The 21238-nt window shown below is 39.0% G+C and overlaps 1 protein-coding gene across 9 annotated transcripts in view; it reads right to left on the bottom strand.

Annotated features, from left to right (window-relative positions):
* The window catches only part of DNAJC21 (DnaJ heat shock protein family (Hsp40) member C21), a 29406-nt gene that overhangs the window by 6094 nt on the left and 2074 nt on the right, over positions 1–21238 (bottom strand). For 2 of the 9 annotated variants that reach the window (XM_011513965.3, XM_047416722.1), the window contains exons 2-11: positions 18963–19056; positions 17038–17161; positions 16605–16727; positions 15241–15545; positions 13862–14013; positions 11688–11775; positions 7846–8004; positions 7068–7149; positions 3194–3328; positions 2529–2701 (exon numbers count right to left, since the gene is read on the bottom strand). In XM_011513965.3, coding sequence (XP_011512267.2) covers positions 2529–2701; positions 3194–3328; positions 7068–7149; positions 7846–8004; positions 11688–11775; positions 13862–14013; positions 15241–15545; positions 16605–16727; positions 17038–17161; positions 18963–19056 — 1435 coding nt within the window. Of the gene's footprint in view, positions 1–685; positions 2428–2528; positions 2702–3193; positions 3329–7067; positions 7150–7845; positions 8005–11687; positions 11776–13861; positions 14014–15240; positions 15546–16604; positions 16728–17037; positions 17162–18962; positions 19057–21238 lie in introns of those variants that run through there. The other 7 variants (XM_011513966.3, XM_047416719.1, NM_194283.4 and 4 more) reach the window with 7 other exon arrangements.

Genomic DNA, 21238 nt, shown 5'->3' with positions numbered 1-21238 from the left:
CCTAACATTAACTTCTTGGACGTGATCCAGTTTAACAAACACTTCAATAGTCGCACAGAGAAATGAGTGAAACAAAGACTTTGTAATGCATTTTTCATAAAATTAAATTTGCTCAATATAAGGAAGTTACTTTTATTTAAAAATTATGTCCTTTCTGTTGATCTGATGGTTTTTCCCCACCATACCATTTAGATCAGAAACGGTATAGTTGGGTTCCTCTTGTTCTGCTTGAACTCCTGAACATTCCTCTACTCATCTCCTACATGAATTTCAATTTTCCTTGGCATTTCATACTTTCCCCCATTTGTGCTAACCAAATTCATAGGGTAAAAATCTGGGTCCAACTATACTGTACAGAACAGACAGGATGGGTTATAATGAGTAAGTGATGATAATGCTTCCAGTTTATAGGTATACTATTCTTCAAGCAGAGGCCAATAGTCTGTGCTAAGTTAAACGGCCTATGCATTTAAAAAATGCAGATTAGGAGTGTAACATATTGTGTAGGATTCAGCCAGCTTTGAAAACATCAAGAAAAGGACACAATGGCATAAAAGGCAACAAATAATACATACTAATTTTCAAACTATCATCACAGATATGTCAGAAATATGTCTAACAAATTTAGGATAATATTCCTGGCAAACATCACTTATATTATGAAAGACAGTTACATCTCTGAAGCTGATATCTAAGACCTTTATTTTTTAAAAATACTATACACACACACACACACACACACACACATTTTTTAAAAAAACACTTCTCAGTAGGTGGCCAGTGTCCACACCACTCCAGAGAAGCAACAGAGGAGCTGCCAGCATAAAGGCCCTGGATCCAGGGGACAGCAGAGTGGTGTGGGGAGGGTGCTGGGTATAATGTATCTATCTTAGCTCTGCCATTCTGCAGCTGTGAAGAAGTCACTTGAATTCTCTGAATCCTTTCCTCACATCAGTGAAATTAGAGAGCTGAACTATATCAGTGGTTGCCCAAGCCTGAGAACCCTTCTTCCTCCCCAGATCAATTCTCATGTAGAAGTAACATGGAGGCCAGACACGGTAGCTCACACCTGCAATCCCAGCACTTTGGTAGGCCAAGGCGGGCAGATCATGAGGTCAGGAGTTCAAGACCACCCTGTGCAACATGGTGAAACCGTCTCTACTAAAATACAGAAAAATAGCCAGGCGTGGCAGTGCATGCCTGCAGTCCCAGCAACTCGAGAGGCTGAGGCAGGAGAATTGCTTGAACCCAGGAGGCGGAGGTTGCAGTGAGCCGAGGTTGCGCCACTGTACTCCAGCCTGGGCAACAGAGCGAGACTCCATCTCCAAAAAAAAAAAAAAAAGAAGTAACATGGAAAACATTTTAGTTTTAGATGAAAAAGGGGTTCAGGGGCCCAGAGCCCCACCTCCTGGCCCACTCTTTGTGCCCATCCCACAGGACACACAGGCTCCATGGAGTCAGATGATCTGGGTGCCTTCAAGTTGTCAGGCAGATGGAATGAAGTGTCAGCCTTTCTACTCAATAGCTTTTGTCCTTGGACAATTAACCTGAAATTCAGTTTCCCCATTTGTAGAAAGGGAACAAACACCTGGTGTCAGAGTGAAATACATGTGAATTTCCCTTTCTAGGCTTCAACTCTCCAAAGTTCTTCAAAGCTTCAACATTACCAGTTTGTGTAGTTCTTTATATACCTTTTTCTATAGCCAGAGTCATACTGTAGGTCTCACCCACATCTGTTTCCTCCTTCCTACTACTAAGTGCCTTAAACTCCGAAGTACACACACTCCCCACCCCATCACTGTTGCTCCAGTGTTAGCATTTTCACGTCATGCTCCCACTTTGCTCTCTCACTTTAATTCTTTTCAGGGTTCTGTAATGACAGAAACTTGAAGCTCCTCACTATCAGATCTTTCCTCAAGAAATAAGAAATGATTCTCTGTTCTAGAGGAACCGAGGAGGATGGGGAAAAGAAAGTCAGACAAGAGGAGGAAGGAGAGAACAGGACTGGCTACCTCCCTTGGGTGAGACCTCCTCCTAGTCCACACCATGGCCTTGTGCAGCACCAAGAGTCCAGGGCTCCTCTGAGCAGGAAGGGCCCCAGCTGCTGCCATGTGTCCTCACAACATGGTGGGGCCCAACACAGGCTGCTGTCGTGAGCATGGAGATTTGCTTAGTGACACTCCAGGGACGCAGCAGGAGTCTTGTTCTCATGTGAGTGTCAAGTGTTAATGATCCACGACAAAATCAGCGCCACAGCAGGATAAGGTAAACAAGAACTGGATCAAAGTGACATCTTTCTGATTTTGGCCATGCTGCTGAGATGTGTGTGGGCACATTCCTCTAGCATCCTCTTCTCAACGCTCTTCATCTGTATACATATGTGTGTGTGTATCTATACATAAATATGTACAGATACATCTAAATTACCTGGTCAGTCATGGGAAAGAAGATTTTATTTGATATATGAAAAGCTACATCCTTACTATCAATATTCAGTAATTTACAAATAATATGCAACTTTGACTTACCTTTTAGCTTCACTTTTTGGATCATCACATGGTTTAATGATCTCTGTGACACTGACATTTTCCTGGGGACTATCTTCCAATTCTTTGGCACTGTCTTGATTTAAGTTAGTATCTTCTGGATCAACCTTTACTCCTTCTCCAGGTCCATTTACATTGAAATTGTCATCATAATTCTAGGTAATAAAACATATGTGCCGTTACAAAATAAATATAATACTACTACTAGCTTTTTATGTTATGTTGCCAAATAGTTATATACCTTCGGGAAATAAAAAGGAGAAGCAGGTAAGTTAAGAACATGGATGCTCATTACAGTGATAGTAAATTAAGGGAAATCTGAAAAGAATCCAAATGTTCAAAAAGTGAATGGCTGAATATATGAAGAAAAATTCTGAAGTGCTTAAGTATCATGTTTCCAAAGATACTCAATTATGTGAAAAAATACTTACAACATATTAGCAAAAGTAGAAGAAAGAAAATTATACATAGTGTAATCACAATTTAATTCTTTATTAAGTAATCTCTACAGGTAAAATTAAGGATGATACTTTTCCATATTCCAAATGATAAGCAATGAGCAACTATTCTTCTACAGTCACAAACAATGGCAACAACAAACAGGCATTATAAAAGAAAGACGCCTGGCAAACATATCCTAAGCGTACCTGTCTGTTTTCAAGCAACATTTTGGCACATTTGTGCTCGCTCTCTCCATCTCTTCTCTCTCCCAACACACACTTTTTTCCCCAAGCCATCTGAAAGTGAGCTGCAGGCAGATATGAATCTTTGCCAGGTACATCCTAAGAATCAAAACATTCTCTGGCACAATACTCACACTCAAGAATCTAATGCTAATATTATCTGTTACACAACCCACATTCAAATTTACCAATTACTCCTTTTCCTGTATAGGGATATACAGGATAGGGGGTGTAATCAAGGATCACATGTTGCATTTAGTTGTCAGGTACCTTTAATCTCCTTTATTCTAGAGCAGCTCCCCCACTTTTTTTTTGTCTTTCATGATGTTGACAATTTGATGTTTTGTAGAGTGTCCCATAATCTGGCTTTGTTTGGTTGTTTCCAAATGATCAGATTCAGGTTAAACATTTCTAGCATAATACTATAATCCCGGGAAGCAAAATGAGTTTGTCATTTTTCAGTGATATTATTAAGTTTGATCATTTGGTTAGGGTGGTATTGCCAGATTTTTCAACTGTAAAGTATGTTTTCCCTTTTTAAATTAATAAGTAATCTGCAGAGTGTGACTCTGAGACTGTGTGAATATCCTGTCCCCATGACCATTTACCGAATATACTTGGCATCTATTAATGATTCTTGCCTGAAACATTTATATACTGGTGGATGTAGAAGAGTGATTTTCTCCCTCTATTACTTGTGTCATTTGCACTTGTACTAATTAATATTTTTCTGTAATAATAAAGCTTTCCTATCTCCTTTCTCCAACTTTTTTTTTTTTGAGACAGTCTTGCTCTGTTGCCCAGGCTGGAGTGCAGTGGCGTGATCTCAGCTCACTGCAACCTCAGCCTCCCAGGTTCCAACGATTCTCCTGCCTCAGGCTCCTGAGTAGCTGGAATTACAGGCGCATGGCACCACGCCCGGCTAATTTTTGTATTTTTAGTAGAGATGGGGTTTCACTATGTTGGCCAAGCTGATCTTGAACTCCTGACTTTGTGATCCACCCGCCTTGGCCTCCCAAAGTTCTGGGATTACAGGCGTGAGCCACCGCACCTGGCCAGCTCTCACTATTTTAAAAGTCAATATAGATACATAAATTTCTTTTTAACAAATGCAATGTATGAAGATCTATTACCCTTATTCCTTTTGATGACTCAAGTTTTCCCTAACTGGCAGGCCCCGCAAGCTGGATCTTGAGTACTTCTAACGTATCCCCATCAGTTTTTGAGCACTTCCTTAGTTTCTAGTATAAGATGCTCTAGGCTCACGTTCCACTTTCCTAGTCTCAGCCCTGAAATCAGGTATTTCTCCAAAGAGCAAGCCTGTTTCCTTTTCATGGAAAAGTGAACTTAAAAACCAAAACGTGTGCATTAGGTGTACTCACTGCTAGGGGTGTCACTGCTTCTAGGTCCTCACAATGCACACTGCTCACACACTTACTTTCTTTAAATCATGGGCTCATACCAACATCTCCACTTCAATCCAACTCTACAGTATTCTTCTTCTCTTTTCCTCAATTTATATTTGTATTTCCCTCTTCCCACAAAAAGAATATGGTTCCCAGCTACAATTTATTCATTTAATTCCTTTTTTTGGGGGAGGGGTCAAGGATCAAATAATTTAATTTTATTAAGATGTCAATACAACCTACATTGTGAACAAATTCAATATAATTTCTATAAAAATCCCAATAGCACAGGATTTTTTTTTACAGAACTATTGCTTAAAATTTTTAAATTTGATTATGAACTATAACTAGCCAAGCACTCACGAAAAAGAGGAGGCATTATACTTCCTGATTTCAAAACATATTAAAAGCTACAATAACAAAAACAATGTGGTACTGACACAAAGACAGAAAAACAGATAACAGAACAGAATACGGCACAGAAATGAACTCTTCTATATATGATTAAATGATCTTCCACAAAGTTGCCATGAGCACATGATAGAGAAAAGATAATCTCTTCAAAAAAAAAAAAAAAAACATGGTGAAAACTGCATGTCTACACTGATAAAGCTGGATCCTCTCCTTGAATCATATACAAAAAATATTTTAAATAAAATACTTACACATAAAAATAACTAACAAACCTCTTAGAAAAAATATAGGGGAAAGAAATGACATGGGTCTTGGAACCATTTTCTTAGACACAACATTAAATATGTGATTAACAAAGAACAGAAAAATTTAACTACGTGATACTTCAACATTTCTGCACATCAATGCCTCCTCTATGAAATTGGTGAAAATATACTCATTTACTTTCAAAAATACCACACCAATACCACCAAAAAACATACTAAATTCAGGACTTACTTTTTTGGCAGTTAATTTTATCTTTCAACTATATCCCTTGGAAGGTATTCAGTCAGAGTACTATGTTTGAGTTACTTGAATTAAATTTTCTTTCCTGTCAGTCAGGGTCATTTCTTTCTATTTACATTCAGTTTTAATCTGGGAGGGTTTTCTTGTACAATTCCTTGTTGGTTATGGAATTTTTCTGGCCATACAGAAAACTTCCCCAATCTCAAGTTTCAAGATACTCATTATTTGCTGCCGTCTGCTCTTAAATCTATCAGTACATTTCTCCACACTGCCCTTCCCTTCAAAAAGAGCTTAGAAAATATCAGGAAAAGTGTTACATCAAGCTAGGTCTGAACTTGCTACAATCAGGAATCATAAACGAGAGATGCTATAAAGGAATATAGCTTTTGAGAGAAACGATGGGGTGTTCATTTGAAGCATTTTCATCAGTAAGAAAATACTAACGTATGTGTTTATGGTTGCAATCAATAGAATCTATGCTCCATTAATCAAGGTAATACAGGCTCAGGTTAAACATAAATCTCTCTCCATTTATTTTGTCCTTACTGTAATGGTACTGACATACACAAAGGAAAGAGAAAGTGTTCCAAACTAATAATTATAAGGTGTTTGGATGGATGATGGTAGATGTCAATTTATAAAAAGAACACATATTTGCTATGCGGTTTTATAACTGAAGCAAAAAGTTCCAAATTACAATTTTAAGTGATTAACTCATGTGTCATATATCATTTTTTGAATAGGAAACTGATTTTAAAAAAGACTATTAAATATATTATTATAACCATTTGGATAAATAAACCAAATCTGAAGTTTTATTAAAAAGCATTAATGTGTTTTCTTAAAAATATTTAATACTTAATGTAAGTTAATATAACTAGATTATACTAAAATGCCATAAATCCAAATGTCCTTGGTAAAATGGACAAATTCACTTTATTTTTATAGGTATAACAACATAATACCATTTTATTTAAAAATAGTCCTTAAGACAGAGAATGAATTTGGACTTCAGCTGTGAAATATTTAAATTACTTAAACTTCAGAAAAATAGAAACATTTTTTCAAGACTCACAATCATTACAAGTTTCTAACCAAATGTTCCTTTTGCAATGTTTATGTTGTTGGCAGAATAAACTGAGATAAAAAAATGACCAATCCCAGATTTTCCTATTTCAAGATTTTAATTGTTGTCTTGACTTAAAAGCCTTTTGTGAGATGTATTCAGATTTTTAAAATACTGAAAATTCAGCTAATTCATACCAGGGGAATTCTACATGCATACTTGTTAAACACACTGGCAGTCATAATTAAGTTTGTTATTACATACATACAAGGGGGGGGAAGCACTAAAAAAGGAAAATATTTCTAATTCCTTTTTAATCAATCTTACAATCAACATAAAATTATGGAGTATAAGTTTCTCTCCTTAACACAGACTACACTGAATAAATAAGAGCACTGCAACTTTATCGTTGGCATTTAATGTTAACAAAACCTTTCTAACATACCTGTGCTGGTTTCTGTTTCTTTTTCTTCTGTTTTTTAGAAAGCCTAAGAGCAAATATAAATCGAAATGTCAAATACTTGACTCTGTGAAGAGTAAGTGGAAAAAAAAAAAAGTTGAAACACTAGTGATAAAGTAGTAAAACAGAAGTAAAAGATTAAAAATATTTAATATCTTAAAGCATTAAAAGGAAAATAAAGTATTCACATTGTCATTTTAGAGAATAACACAAGGCTGTAGTTCAATGGATAGTAATTAGCTTATCAACTGCCAGGTATAAAAACTGCTTTTAATATAGTGATAATATGTTCTATAAATATTATAGTTGACGTCTGTATCCACTTCAACACTATAAAGTTCCATTAACTAGAAAATATGGAGACAATCTTTTCTAGTTAGAATAACTTCCTTGGGATAAAACAGCCTTTAAGGCCGGGCGCAGTGGCTCACACCTGTAACCCCAGCACTCTGGGAGGCTGAGGCAGGTGAATTACCTGAGATCAGGAGTTCAAGACCAGCCTAGCCAACATGGTGAAACTCTGTCTCAACTAAAAACACAAAAATTAGCTGGGCGTGGTGGTGTGTGCCTGTAGTCCCAGCTACTTGGGAGGCTGAGGGAGGAGAATCACTTGAACCCACAAGTTGGAGGTTGCAGTGAGCTGAGACTGCGCCACTGCACCCCAGCCTGGGCAACAGAGTGATTCTCCATCTCAAAAAAAACCTTTTAATGCAATCTCTGAATGTGATAAGTATTTCTAGTGACATTTAATATTTAGAAGTACTTTTGTTTTGGTGCATCTTCCATTTCTTCCTCAGAATTGTCATCTAATGGATTTTCATCAATTTGAGGTCTTGAAAAATTTTCTTCTTCCTCCTCCAGCTGTTGTTTTAGCAAGGCCACCATTTCCCGATGCTTCTTTGACTTCTCGTGATTCTTCATGCTGAAAGAGCAATCTGACGTGAGCAGCTGCGCTAAAATTAGTTCACGTGTCCAGATAATGTTGCTGGATAACTGCAACCAAGATAAAATTAGCTTTTTTCCCACTAAGCAAAACGTTTCTGATTCTATTTATTTTTTTCTTTTTTTTTATTTGTTCATGATTTTATACAGAGAAACAGAACGTGTCAGGATTCCTTGGCAGTGAGCATACTGGAAGCTCGTGGCCACACTCTTTCTTTCCGTACCACAGCTTTCCCTGTCTTTCTCTGTCCTTTTATCTACATACATTTTCTTCCTTTCTGGGGATGGGGGAATGTCGGCAGGGGGAGGTTTGGACAAATTCTCTACTTATTATTTTGATTTTTCAATTCTTAAAGCTTCCGCCATTGTTTTCTTTTAATCACTAAGTATTTGCTAAGTGTTTTTACATTCCAGGCCATCCCACAGACTTGGAGGGATCACTGGGAAATTAGAAGACACACATTTTAATGTTAAAAGGAAGAGCCCCCTGGACTAGAGAAATGGTGGTGGGAAGGCTTGAAATACAAGAGCAGTTTACTGCCTCTTGCTTTTTCAACAGCTGCTTTTCACCTTCTCAGGAGAGGTCTCCTTTCTCACTCTCACCACCGTAACGTACATTCAGACACATCTCTATCCCTGTGTTCAAAACCCTGCTGGCAATGTCTGTCTCAGCACACCTACAGGCAACTAAAAAGCATTCAACAAAACAGGGTTGACAACATAAGCTACAAGAGTTATATCAACTAAAAAGCAGGAAACTTTGTCAACTATCTACTTCATCTCATCTGTTCAGGCTTTTGGTATTATAGTTTTAGTTGCTGTTTTTCTTTCCTACTAAAATTCTCCTTGAGACCAAGCTGCCCTGGAGATAATGGAAGATCCTGTGTCTGAAAGTAAGTCCTCCAAAAAAGTTATAAGCACATGTCAAAAGGACACAAGGGTGGTTTGAAGGAATGCTCACTAACCAATTCTGGAAAAATTTGAGCATGAAAAGGTCAGTAATGAATTATAAAACACTGAAAAAAAGAAATAAATTCAAACTGATAATAGATAAATGGATAAAAGGGAAGGCTCCTGTTTACAGCAGAAGGCCAAGTGCTAACTGATAAAAACTTGAGGGGGTACTGGCACTGGAAAAGCATCATTCTGCAACCATCATAAAAAAGACTGACGCAAGCTAAAACCATCAACAGATGCTAAAGCTATGAGGAAAACTTTTATGAGAAGCAAGATATCTGCATAGTTTTAAAGTGTCTCCTCACAGATTAAACATGTTACAAGGGAAAACCTGTTGCAAGGGAAAAAATACTAACTCTATAGTAAAATTAGTAGTATAGTAGTAAAATTAGATGACACCTTGATTGGGTGATGAAAATTATCACGACAAATGAGGGGTAGAAGGACTTTACGTGTCTCCAGCTATGAATCCCTGAGAGCACAACATGCTTGTGCGGCGTCCCTCCTGGGGCTGCATAACCTGAATCTAATCATGAGGAAATGCACAAAGACAAAATGAGAAGAATTCTATGAAAAAAGTGAAAACAGTGTACTTCTAAAATGTAAACAGCATAAAAGACAACACAAGCTGTTCCAGATTATGTTCTTAGACTGCATTCTGTATTGGAGAAAAATTCTATATTAATAAATAATTGATTGGCAAAATTGGAATGCAGGTAGTAAATTAGATAAAAATACCATATCAATGTTAATAATTTCTTTTATTTGGTCACTGTAGCATGGTTACATAAGAGAATAACCTTACTTTTTTTTTTTATTTTGAGACGGAGTTTTGCTCTTATTGCCCAGGCTGGAGTGCAATGGCACGATCTTGGCTCACCACAACCTCCGCCTCCTGAGTTCAAGCGATTCTCCTGCCTCAGCCTCCTGAGTAGCTGGGATTACAGGTATGCGTCACCACGCCCAGCTAATTTTGTAGTTTTAGTAGAGACGGGGTTTCTCCATGTTGGTCAGGCTGGTCTCAAACTCCCAACCTCAGGTGATCTGTCCACCTCAACCTCCCAAAGTGCTGGGATTACAGGCGTGAGCCACTGCGCCCAGCGAGAATAACCTTATTCTTAAGATATAGTGAAGTATTTAGAGGTAAAGGAACACTATATATGTAAGTTACTTTCAAATTATTCAGAAAAATACTGTGTGTGTGTTGAGCGTGTAGAGAGAAAGAGGACATGCAAATTGTGCAAAACGTTAGTAACAGGTCAATCAGACACACTATATTCTCTTCTTGCAATTTACCTTTAAGTGTGTCATTTCCAAATAAAAAAAAATTTTTAATCTCCTTCATTGTTGACCTTTTTCTTGCTTGTTTCTAATTTTTCTGCCTCTTTCCACTTCCCCTAGTACTCTGTCATTTCTCCCTGAGGTCATATGGTAATACCATTTATGACTCTCACAGCGCCATTCTCATCCTTTGGCCTCCTTTCTCTCTGATTGCCCATTTTGCTTTTTTTCCCTTGCTGATTCTACTCCCATTTTCTCCCGTGTTGTTTCCTCCCTCCTTTATAATAATGGTATCCGTTTTAATACTTCTTTCTTCATCATTGTTCCCCTAAGATAAAGTTCTTCCACTTCAGCAAAGATACTCTGGGCCAGACAAGTTTAAAGCCCCTATATTGGCAGCATCAGCCTGCATGGGACAATGATGGTGGGAAGTGAGTCTGACACCAATGATGGAGGGAGATGATTAGACACGGTCTAGACTTTTTGCCCATGTGACTATGTCTTCTTTGCCAAAACAAGCAATGCTTCTGGAGACAGTGCATGTGTTTTAAAAGCAGCTATAGGAATACTGGGATGAGTGACAATCAGTACAACAGGTTTAATGGCAGGTACAAATACCTCTTTCTACCCTGCTGGAAAGGAATCCCCCGAGACAGTATGTGGGGCTAGTTATCAACTGCTACAAGCACATTGTTTTTAGAACTTTCAAAATGTTACACTTCACCTCAAAAAAAAACACAAGGGCCAGGCGCTGTGGCTCACGCCTGTAATCCCAACACTTTGGGAGGCCGAGGTGGGTGGATCGCCTGAGGCCAGGAGTTTGAGACCAGCCTGACCAACATGGTGAGACCCTGTCTCTACTAAAAATACAAAAATTAGCTGGGTGCGGTGACCTGCATCTGTAGTCCCAGCTACTCGGGAGCTTGAGGCAGGAGAATCGCTTGAATCCAGGAGGTGGAGGTTGCAGTGAGCTGAGATCGTGCCACTGCACTCCAGCCGGGGCAACAGAGTGAGACTCTGTCTCCAAAAAAAAAAAAAAAAAAAAAAAGAAAACACAAGTTCAGAGATACTAAACTTACTCCTTTTAACTGGATGCAGTGGCTCACGCTTGCAATCCTAGCACTTTGAAAGGCTGAGGCAGGTGGAACACTTGAATCCAGGAGTTCAAGACCAACCTGGACAACATGGCAAAACCCCATCTCCAAAGAAAATATTTAGGTTGGTGCAAAAGTAACTGCAGTTTTTTAGCTGGCCATGATGGCAGGTTCCTGTAGCCCTAGCTACTTGGGAGGCTGACATGGGAGGATCATCTGAGTTCAACAGGTCGAGGCTGTGGTGAGTCATGACTGTGCCACTGCACTCCTGCCTTGGTGACAGAGTGAGACCCTGTCTCAAAATTAAATTAAATTAAATTAATAAACTTACGCCTTTTCTGTCTTGAACGATTTGTCACATGCTGGGCAGTAAAGGTCATCATAGAGCTCAGCGTCCTCGGCCTCATCACTGTCTTTACCTATGACAGGGAAGCCTACAGTAAGAACCCTCTTTGATCAGAGCACAAATCTAAAATATGCTAACAAATTAGAAATTAAATTTTTTTATTTCTTTACCTAAAAAAAAATAATCCTAAGGATTTGAGTTGGCTTTTTAAAAGCAGCACTGTACTATAAGGAAAGGCTCCAAATAAAGCACCTTAACTTTCAAGTTCTTTTCCTAAGTCTACTTAGAAGAAGATATAAAACATCTTTAAAGTCTTGGATGTCAGCTAAGTTTAAAAAATTAAATCCCACTTTCATAGTTCTACCACGAAGCAGTTTTTCAAAAAAGGTCTTTTCTTAGTTTACCTCTTGAGCAAGATTTGGTCCAAACACATTTACAACTGTGACTTACTCTTAAATACTTAATAAACTTAGTTTATAAGTTTATAACATTCCATCACTGTAAGACGGATAGGCCATAAGTTAACATATTACATGTAAAGTTTAACATTATAAACTTTTTTTTAATAAGCTTTTGGCTTTATTACAACTGAATAATTACTATCAGTATAGTCCACAAAAACCAACTGACTAAAAAGCTCAATTGAAATTATTTTCACAAATCCGTATTCTATTTTTGAAGAAACAAACATGTAAACTGTCATTTGGGATTTATTATAGGACCAATAAATATCTCAAGGTATCTTCCATATTCTACATGTTGGTTATTTATAAGTGATGTCAGTATGATTTTGAAGGACTGTCTCATTGAAATCATAAATGATCAAAATATACCCTATCTAGTGTTAATGTTTAATATATGGTGTTAATTTTCCATTATGGTATTGTAGACTTTCAATATATCATGTATGTGAAATTTTAATTAATCGAATAGTTAACAATACTGGATTTGAAGCAAAAACTCTGGATCTAAAAATGGTCATACATTCTCAGGCACATCTCATAGCTTCTCAGAGTCCTAGTTTCCACAACGGCAAAACAGAGACGATTCCATGAGCAAAACCTCCATGTAAGGGGGATTGTGTGACGATCCAGTGAGAGCTTGTACGTGAAAGGACTTTATAAATTGTAAAACTCGATGGAAATTAGGCCACCTCACATTTATAGAGTGATTTATAATTTTCAAAGTACTTTCAAAAGTATTACTTCTGATTCATTAATAAAACGCTTCACTTCCTAGTCATTTTGAATAAATAAAAGTTTATCATTTTATTATTTGGGCTACGAATCTGAAAAATCACATTTGTAGATAAGGTAAAACTGGGTCAATTTTATAGAGACAGTGGGGAAAATCAGATATACAGCTATTCTCAAAAATGCCTAATCCTTGCCTTTTAAGGTAGTCAAATACCTGTGCTCTAATGATAGCGGCAAAAAAAAAACAACATTTTGGCACACCAAGAGGAGCCCTTCTATAAAGTCACAAGGGAGAGGAAGAATTTATACACAACACATAGATTCTCATGCAATATCAGCTTTTCTAGAAATAGTTACTATTAAAACTTGACCTATCACTTAGTTGAATTTTCTTTAATAGTCACACTTGGCCGGGCGCGGTGGCTCACGCCTGTAATCCCAGCACTTTGGGAGGTCGAGGCGGGTGGATCACGAGGTCAGGAGATCGAGACCATCCTGGCTAACAAGGTGAAACCCCGTCTCTACTAAAAATACAAAAAATTAGCCGGGCGCGGTGGCGGGCGCCTGTAGTCCCAGCTACTCGGGAGGCTGAGGCAGGAGAATGGCGTGAACCCAGGAAGCGGAGCTTGCAGTGAGCCGAGATTGCGCCACTGCAGTCCGCAGTCCGGCCTGGGCGACAGAGCGAGACTCCGTCTCAAAAAAAAAAAAAAATAGTCACACTTGTAAACATGTCCATTTGTCATATTATGCAGCTAGAAGTACACACTGTTTAGGACATGGTCAGAAAAGAATTTGTTAATCAAATTACTTGAATTAGACTAGCTCAGCCGACTACCTTTGGCCCATACAACATTATTTTTAATTATTTGCCACATTTAAAAATTGGGAGATGTCAAATAAGCAAGGAGATTTCCAGCTTCACTTAAAAAACAAAAAAGATAAATAAAATAAAAATAATATTACCATCCTCCTCATCTTTGAGTTCATGTTCTTCCATTTCATTTTCATCCGATCCATCTCCAAACTCCTTCTCGTACCGTGCCTCCATCTCCTGGAGCTCTTTCTCCAAATTGGCCATAGTCATCCAGCTCTGTTCTCTGTACTGCTCCACCAGTCTAGACACATACAGCACAGTCTCACAGCGACAAGCACGCCTCTGCATGGTTTTCACTTACTACTTAGGTTTAAAATCCATTCCCACTAGAGAGCTTGCTCCCAACCTATCCACGCTTACAAACTTAAAACCTGTGCTTAGTTAAAACCAAGGCAAAGTCACTTAAACCTGTTACCTGTTGTATGGTTAATTTTAATTGCTCCAGTAGTAGATAACAGGTTTTGAAACATGAAACTCAGCAACTTATTAAAAGTCTTCAGATGATTTTAAGTCATGTAGGTAAAGTGTTAATTTTCAAAAGATGAGGGTGGGATGAGTAGAATTCTTAAGAAGTGAATAATTTTTAAAAGTATGCTATAATGCTCTGGACACAATGCATTTACAGTAACTTTTTAATAACAAAACTTTAGAGGAACTAAAATGAACTGAGTATCTCAGGGTACACTGACCAAAAGGCAGTACTGCACGGTGGCTAAAGCAGGAAAGTCTGGAGTCAGAATTCTCAGGTTCAATTCCTGACTCTACCATTTACTGGCTCTGTGATCTCAGGCCTGTCAGCCTTGTTTCCTCAGAAGAACAAGGAGGATAAGTACTTCACAGCATTGCTGTGAGGAAGGCACTTAGAACGTGGCCTTGCACAGAGGAAGAATTCAATTAACGCTAGTTATTAATTAAAATTATTAAGTTTTACAAAAGTCTAAAGGATCTCTCAAATGTAAAGGGTCTCTGAAGGAAAATATCCAATTCAAATAAAAATTTTAGGCCAGGCACTGTGGCTCATACCTGTAATTCCAGCACTTTGGGAGGCTGAGGCGGGCAGATCGCTTGAGGCCAAGAGTACGAGACCAGACTGGCCAACAGGGTGAAACCTCGTCACTACTAAAAATACAAAAATTAGCTGGGCATGGTGGCATATTACACCTGCAATCCCAGCTACTTGGGAGGCTGAGACAGGAGAATCACTTGAACCTGGAGGCGGAGGTTGCAGTGAGCCGAGATCGCACCATTGCACTCCAGCCTGGGTGACAGAATGACACTGTCCCAAAAATAATAATAATTTTTACACAGTAGATGAAAAAACACTATCCAATGCCACAATTTAAAAAAGAAGAAAAAGCAGGATAAAGCCAGGCTGATGACTGAACCCAACATGAACATGTAAGGTACCTCTGGTGCTGCCTCTGACCCCCACCGATACTGAGAAGAGGGCCCCACGCACGCTACGCACTTGGCCTGCTTTAGCTTCTGCTGCCGCCTCATCTCTTCGGCTTTCCTCGCCTTCTCTGCATTCTGTTCTTCCACAAGTTTTCGATGCGCCTGCACTCTTTTATCTCTTTTACGAATGAAAGCTACCAGCTGACGGACAAGCTCATTCTTCTCTTTCCTTGCTTTGTCCCGAATCTTTTTGTTTTCTTTTTCCATGGCTCGTTTTTCCCAGCGGTTTGAAGCCTGTCGTGTATCATATTCTTCCTTCCATGCAAAATTCTTTTGAGTGCAGAAACTCTGCCAATAAGCGTAGAAAGGATGGACTACCTAGTGACAAAGAAAACAGATTAACTTCTGCGCTTTAAGATTTTTTTTTAGAAAAGCAGTAAATATTACTGATGCGAAACATCTTTTACCTTTCTTTTTTCATGTATATAACACTTCTAATAATCTCTGGAGAAGACAGTACTTTTAAGGCTTTCCAGAAAAAATCACTCTTCAAAATAAACTTAATGAGAAAATAAAAATAGCCTTACTAATCACTAGATGGGACCATGGTGATTAGTAAATAATCAGTAAACAATTAGTAAATTAAAAGGGAAAAGTAGGCATGGTGGCTCACGCCTGTAATCCCAGCACTTTGGAAGGCTGAGGTGGGTGGATCACCTGAGGTCAGGAGTTTGAAACCAGCCTGGCCAACATGATGAAATCCTGTCTCTACTAAAAATACAAAAATTAGCTGAGCATGGTGGTGGGAGCCTGTAATCCCAGCTACCTGGGAGGCTGAGGCAGGAGAATCGCTTGAACCCGGGAGGCTGAGGTTGCAGTGAGCTGAGGTGGTGCCAATGCACTCCAGCCTGAGCAACAGAAGTGAAATGCCATCTCAAAAAAAATAAACAAATAAAATAAAAAATAAAAAGGGAAAAGTAAAGGGGGAAGGTTGCAAGAGATCGAAAAGCTACTTCAGAAAGGAAGAGAGACAAAGAGAGGTCATGGGATAGGTTCGAGAACTAGAACCAATTGTTTTAAAACAAGGAAATGAGAAGCTGGGAGCTGTGGCTCATGCCTGTAATCCCAATCTTTTGGGAGGCCAAGGAGGGAGGCCAGGAGTTCAAGATCAGCCTGGGAAACTTAGCAAGACCCCATCTCTACAAAACAATTGACAAATTAGCTAGATGTCGTGGCGCACACTTGTGTTCCCAGCTACTCAGGAGGCTGAGGTAGGAGGATTGCTTAAGCCCAGGAGTTTGAGGCTGCTGTGAGATATGATCATACCACTGCACTGCAGCCTGGGTGACAGAGTGAGACCATCTCAAAAAGTAAAATAAAATTTAAAAATGACACAGTGATAAATACTAATTATAGAACAATGCATTTTTATTTTACCGTATCATAGTCACTCTGGGAGTCTCCAAAAGTTGGGAAATCATCAACCTCTTCCTCTAACACAGATTCTAGTTCTTCCTTGGCAATCATTTCAAAAACATTACGATACACCGTGTAAAATCCCTAAAAAACAGTAACAAAAACAAATTCTTAATACTTTTGCAGCCTGATCACAGAAAAAGATTTTAAAATACAAAATGAAAAATTTTAATGTTGAAGAATTTTGGGACAAAGTTCAGTCCCTGCAATACATTTAGATTTCAACTAGAGGTTTTTATACACTGACAGCTTAAACATGAAGGCAATGCATCTTCAGTTTTCAAAATGAACACTGCTTCACTTTCTATTACAGAATAGTTTTAAGAATTCTCTTTGTATGTGAGTCTTAATGAAGTACTTGATGAGAAATCAAGGGTGAGTTCATTTATCTTACCTTTTCATCATCTCCATAACCAGAATAACAGGTAACGGTGAAATAGCGTAGCAAATCTAAGCTGTCATCTTGATATTCGCCATCAAACCCACCTTTAAGTAGGGCCTCTCTATGATTATCATACCTGAAAAACAAAAATTAGCATCATTGTGAAGGCTGAATAAGTAAGAATTCAAAAGGATTTCTTGCTCCTTTTGAATATTATTATTGTACATTTTTGGTTGTTGATATGTCCAATCCATAACCAAAAATTTTTAATGAAATATTAACATGAAAAGAGTTCATAATCTTTCACAGAACTGTTAATTATAACTAGGCCTGCAACTTCTGATACATTATACAATGCTAGCCCACATGAACAGGGGAATTTAAAAAGCCAAGGAATTTCCATGACTGTCTCTGAGTCCCGTACTTCCACAGGAAAGAAACATAAAACAGGACATAGGAAATCTGGCCCACAGAATCATTACACATCTGTGATTTGGAAATTTACCAAGATGCACTGGAATAAGAATCTTCCTAAATTTATGTCAACTTAATCTAGGAGCTTCACACACACACAATTGCTTCTCATAATAACTCTGTAAAGGCAGTTATTATCTCCATCTGATATAAAAGGAAATGGAAGCTCAGTGATATTACATAATTTGTCATCCATAATAATAAAACCAGTAACCAGCAAAGTCTGAATTCAGAAGCAGGTCTCCTACATTGGGAAGACCAGCTCCTAGCCACTACACGGTACTGCTTCCAGGTAAAAAGAGAGTTACTAGGCAAGAGCTTTGACTAAAAAGACAAAGGAATCCCAAGGATCAGAAAACAACCCAAGATCTTGAGAAGAGAGTAGGCAAAAGGAAGTCAGGAAAGAATTTCAAAGTTCTGGGAAGAAGGCAAAAGCAATTCTAAGACCAGATCTCCAAATTCCTTGAGTAGAGAAATGTTCAGGATCCTCTCTCTGAGTTTCTTATGAAACACAATTTTGTAAGAATTTTCTTTGCAGCCTTTCTTTCTTGACAACCACCTGGTTGTACACTGTTTAACAGAAAGATGACTTGCACAGTAGCTCTTTGTAAGAGCAGGATCTTGCACAGTTATGTCAAAGCTTAAAACCTATTTCCTTGTAGCAAAAAGTTAATTGAGAATCTGAAAACTCAGAACTTCAACATAGTAATTTTCATCTGGAAATTATTTTAAATGATCACACCATCATTAGTAATATCTGTCACAGATGCAGAAGCTTAATTCAATTTCTTCATATAAAGTAGTTTTGAGGATTACCATTCTTGTATTAAAACACTGTATTGGTTGAGCACAGTGGCTCATACTTGTAATCCTAGCACTTTGGGAGGTCAAGGCAGGTGGATTGCTTGAGGTCAGGAGTTTGAGACCAGCCTGGCCAACATGCTGAAACCCCGTCTCTACTAAAAAAAAAAAAAAAATACAGGTGTGTGGTGGCACACACCTGTAGTCCCAGCTACTCAGGAGGCTGAAGCAGGAGAATCGCTTGAACCTGGGAGGCAGAGGTTGCAGTGAGCTGAGATTGCGCCACTGCACTCCAGCCTGGGTGACAGAGCAAAACTGCGTCTCAAAAAAAAACAAAAAACGAAAACCTTCTACCTGTCTGATATCAGTAAATCTATCATACACCAAAGGGTATTTAATGAGAAGTCACCTAAAGTATCAAAATTAAAACTATATAATATCACCAAACTTTGTTTCACCCCCTATGATATCAGATAATTGGAGCAATCATTTCCAAGCTTCCTTCTGACCCAAACGTTAGATTTTATGTGATGACTAGGTGACAGATGTTTCAGAACACACCAAAAACCATTTAATGTACTAAATTTGAAAAAACAACCACCTATATTGATAACTGCTCCCAACATCATAAACTAGGATGGGAAGGACAGCGTGATGCTCACCATGCTCTTTCCTGAGGGTCACTCAACACATCATATGCTGCTTGGATTAATTTAAATTGTTCAGCTGCTTCTGCGGCATTATCCAGATTTTTATCTGTTAAAGTCACAGAAATTTAAGTCAATCAAAAACGTACAGGACAGAATCTAAATAAGACATTTTCCATCAGAAATGCCACAAACAGATGAGACGTGCACAAAACAAGAAACAACCAGGGCCAAGCAGAAAGACTCCACGTAACAGTCAATAATCAGGATTTGTTAAAAGCAACAATCTAAGCAGAAATTTCAGGCTTTTCCCTAAGCCTTGGTACATCACTAAACAGTCAACTGGGCTGGGCGTGATGGCTCACGCCCACTGTAATCCCAGCACTTTAGGAGGCCGAAGCAGGTGGATTACTTGAGGTCAGGAGTTTGAGACCAGCCTGGTGGTCAACATGGTGAAACCCCGTTTCTGCTAAAAATACAAAAGATTAGCCCAGTGTGGTGGCGCATGCCTGTAGTCCCAACTACTCGGGAGGCTGAAGTGGGAGAATCACTTGAACCCAAGAAGCAGAGGTTGTAGTGAGCCTAGATTGCACCACTGTGCTCCAGCAAGACTCCATCTCTAAAATGAATAAAATAAAATAAAATAAAAGTAAAACAAGTCAACTGGATATCCACAAAAGGAAAAACCTGAGTAGTATAAATTTTACTTTTAAAAGGAGTAAAATAAATAAAATCAGTTCTAGAAAGACTTATTTTGTACTAGATTATGTTTAGTGCTGACATTGTTTTTTTCTTTCTCATCAATGTATATCAAAAGAAATCTCATAAAGTTTAAAAAATATACACTAATTAGTTATTATTTCCTTAGCTGTGCTTCCTGAACCATGGAATTCAGAAAGCGTCCTTGCCTCAGGGTGGTACCCAGCTTGCAAGACAGCACCCCGCCTCCTGGCATTCACACCTTGTGCAGTCCCTTCTGTGTCAGCAAGGGTAGTCTGTGTGACCAACAGGAGATGGCAGAAGTAATGGTACCTCACTTCCGAGATGAGGTTATAAAAGACTGCAGTTTCTACCTTGGGCTTTCCCTCTCTCTTGATCACTCTGGGAGTGGCCAGCTGCCATAGCATGAGCAACTCAGGCTGCCTATGGAGAAGCTGGAGAAGCTCATGGGGTGAAGGAGGCCAATAGCCGGCAGAGCACTGAGGCCTGCCACAACCACATGAGTTGGTGGTTGGTGAGCTGGTGAGTTGGTGAGCTGGAAGCAGGTTCTTTCAGACAATGAGAAAGCCAAAACCACCTAGCAAAGCCGCTCCCAGATTCTCATCCTTAGAAACTGTGGGAGTCCATATAGTCAACATAGGCTTGCTGTTTTTGTTGTTTGTTGTCTTAAGCCCTGAGGTATTGGTAATTTGTTACACAGCAATAGACAACTAATATATTCAGAACGTAAAGCATTTTGAATTGACTATGGAGAACACTAAAGTTCGTTTTTTTTTTTTTTTTTGAGATGGAGTCTCGCTCTGTCACCAGGCTGGAGTGCAGTGGCGCGATCTTGGCTCACTGCAACCTCTGCCTCCTGGGTTCAAGCGATTCTCCTGCCTCAGCCTCCCAAGTGGCTGGGACCACAGGCGTGCGCCACCACGCCCAGCTAATTTTTGTGTTTTTAGTAGAGACAGGGTTTCACCATGTTGGCCAGGATGGTCTCCATCTCCTGACCTCAGGTGATCCGCCCACCTCAGCCCCTCAAAGTGCTGGGATTACAGGTGTGAGTCACCGCACCTGGCCGGAGCACACTAAAGTTCTTTAAGCTACAGCTCAATACTTCCCTTCTAAGAAGTTACAAGAAAACATGACAGCAATGTCTTATCTACAAATAGTTTTGCCGCCCTAGAACATGGCTCTTCAGGGCTTCCTGCTGCCCATTCTCAGATACCATCACACTGATGCCATAAATTATGATGATATTTAGAGAAGATATTTGCATTCAGTTCCTAACAGGTTTGGTTTCAAAGGAGTTAACTGATACTTTAGTCATATTTGCATGCTTCTTCCTAGCACTGATTTCTAATTAATCACCAAATCTGGTCATTTTTCCTTCCCAACATCTCCTCCCCTTGCGCTTTCCCCCTCCCGCTGACCCCAAGCCTGGCTTGGGCCCTTACCTGTCTGTCCACTGCGGACTCTCCCTAACTTCTGTCTCCAGCCCTCTTCAATCCACTAAGTTGCCTTCATAGTACTCTCCCATGGCAGCTTAATAAAACCAGCCACAACTCTCCCTTATTTAGCGAAGC

This window comes from Homo sapiens, chromosome 5, assembly GCF_000001405.40.
Source record: "Homo sapiens chromosome 5, GRCh38.p14 Primary Assembly".
Classification (NCBI taxonomy): Eukaryota; Metazoa; Chordata; class Mammalia; order Primates; family Hominidae; genus Homo; species Homo sapiens.
This window is presented reverse-complemented; position numbering and strand designations above follow the sequence as displayed.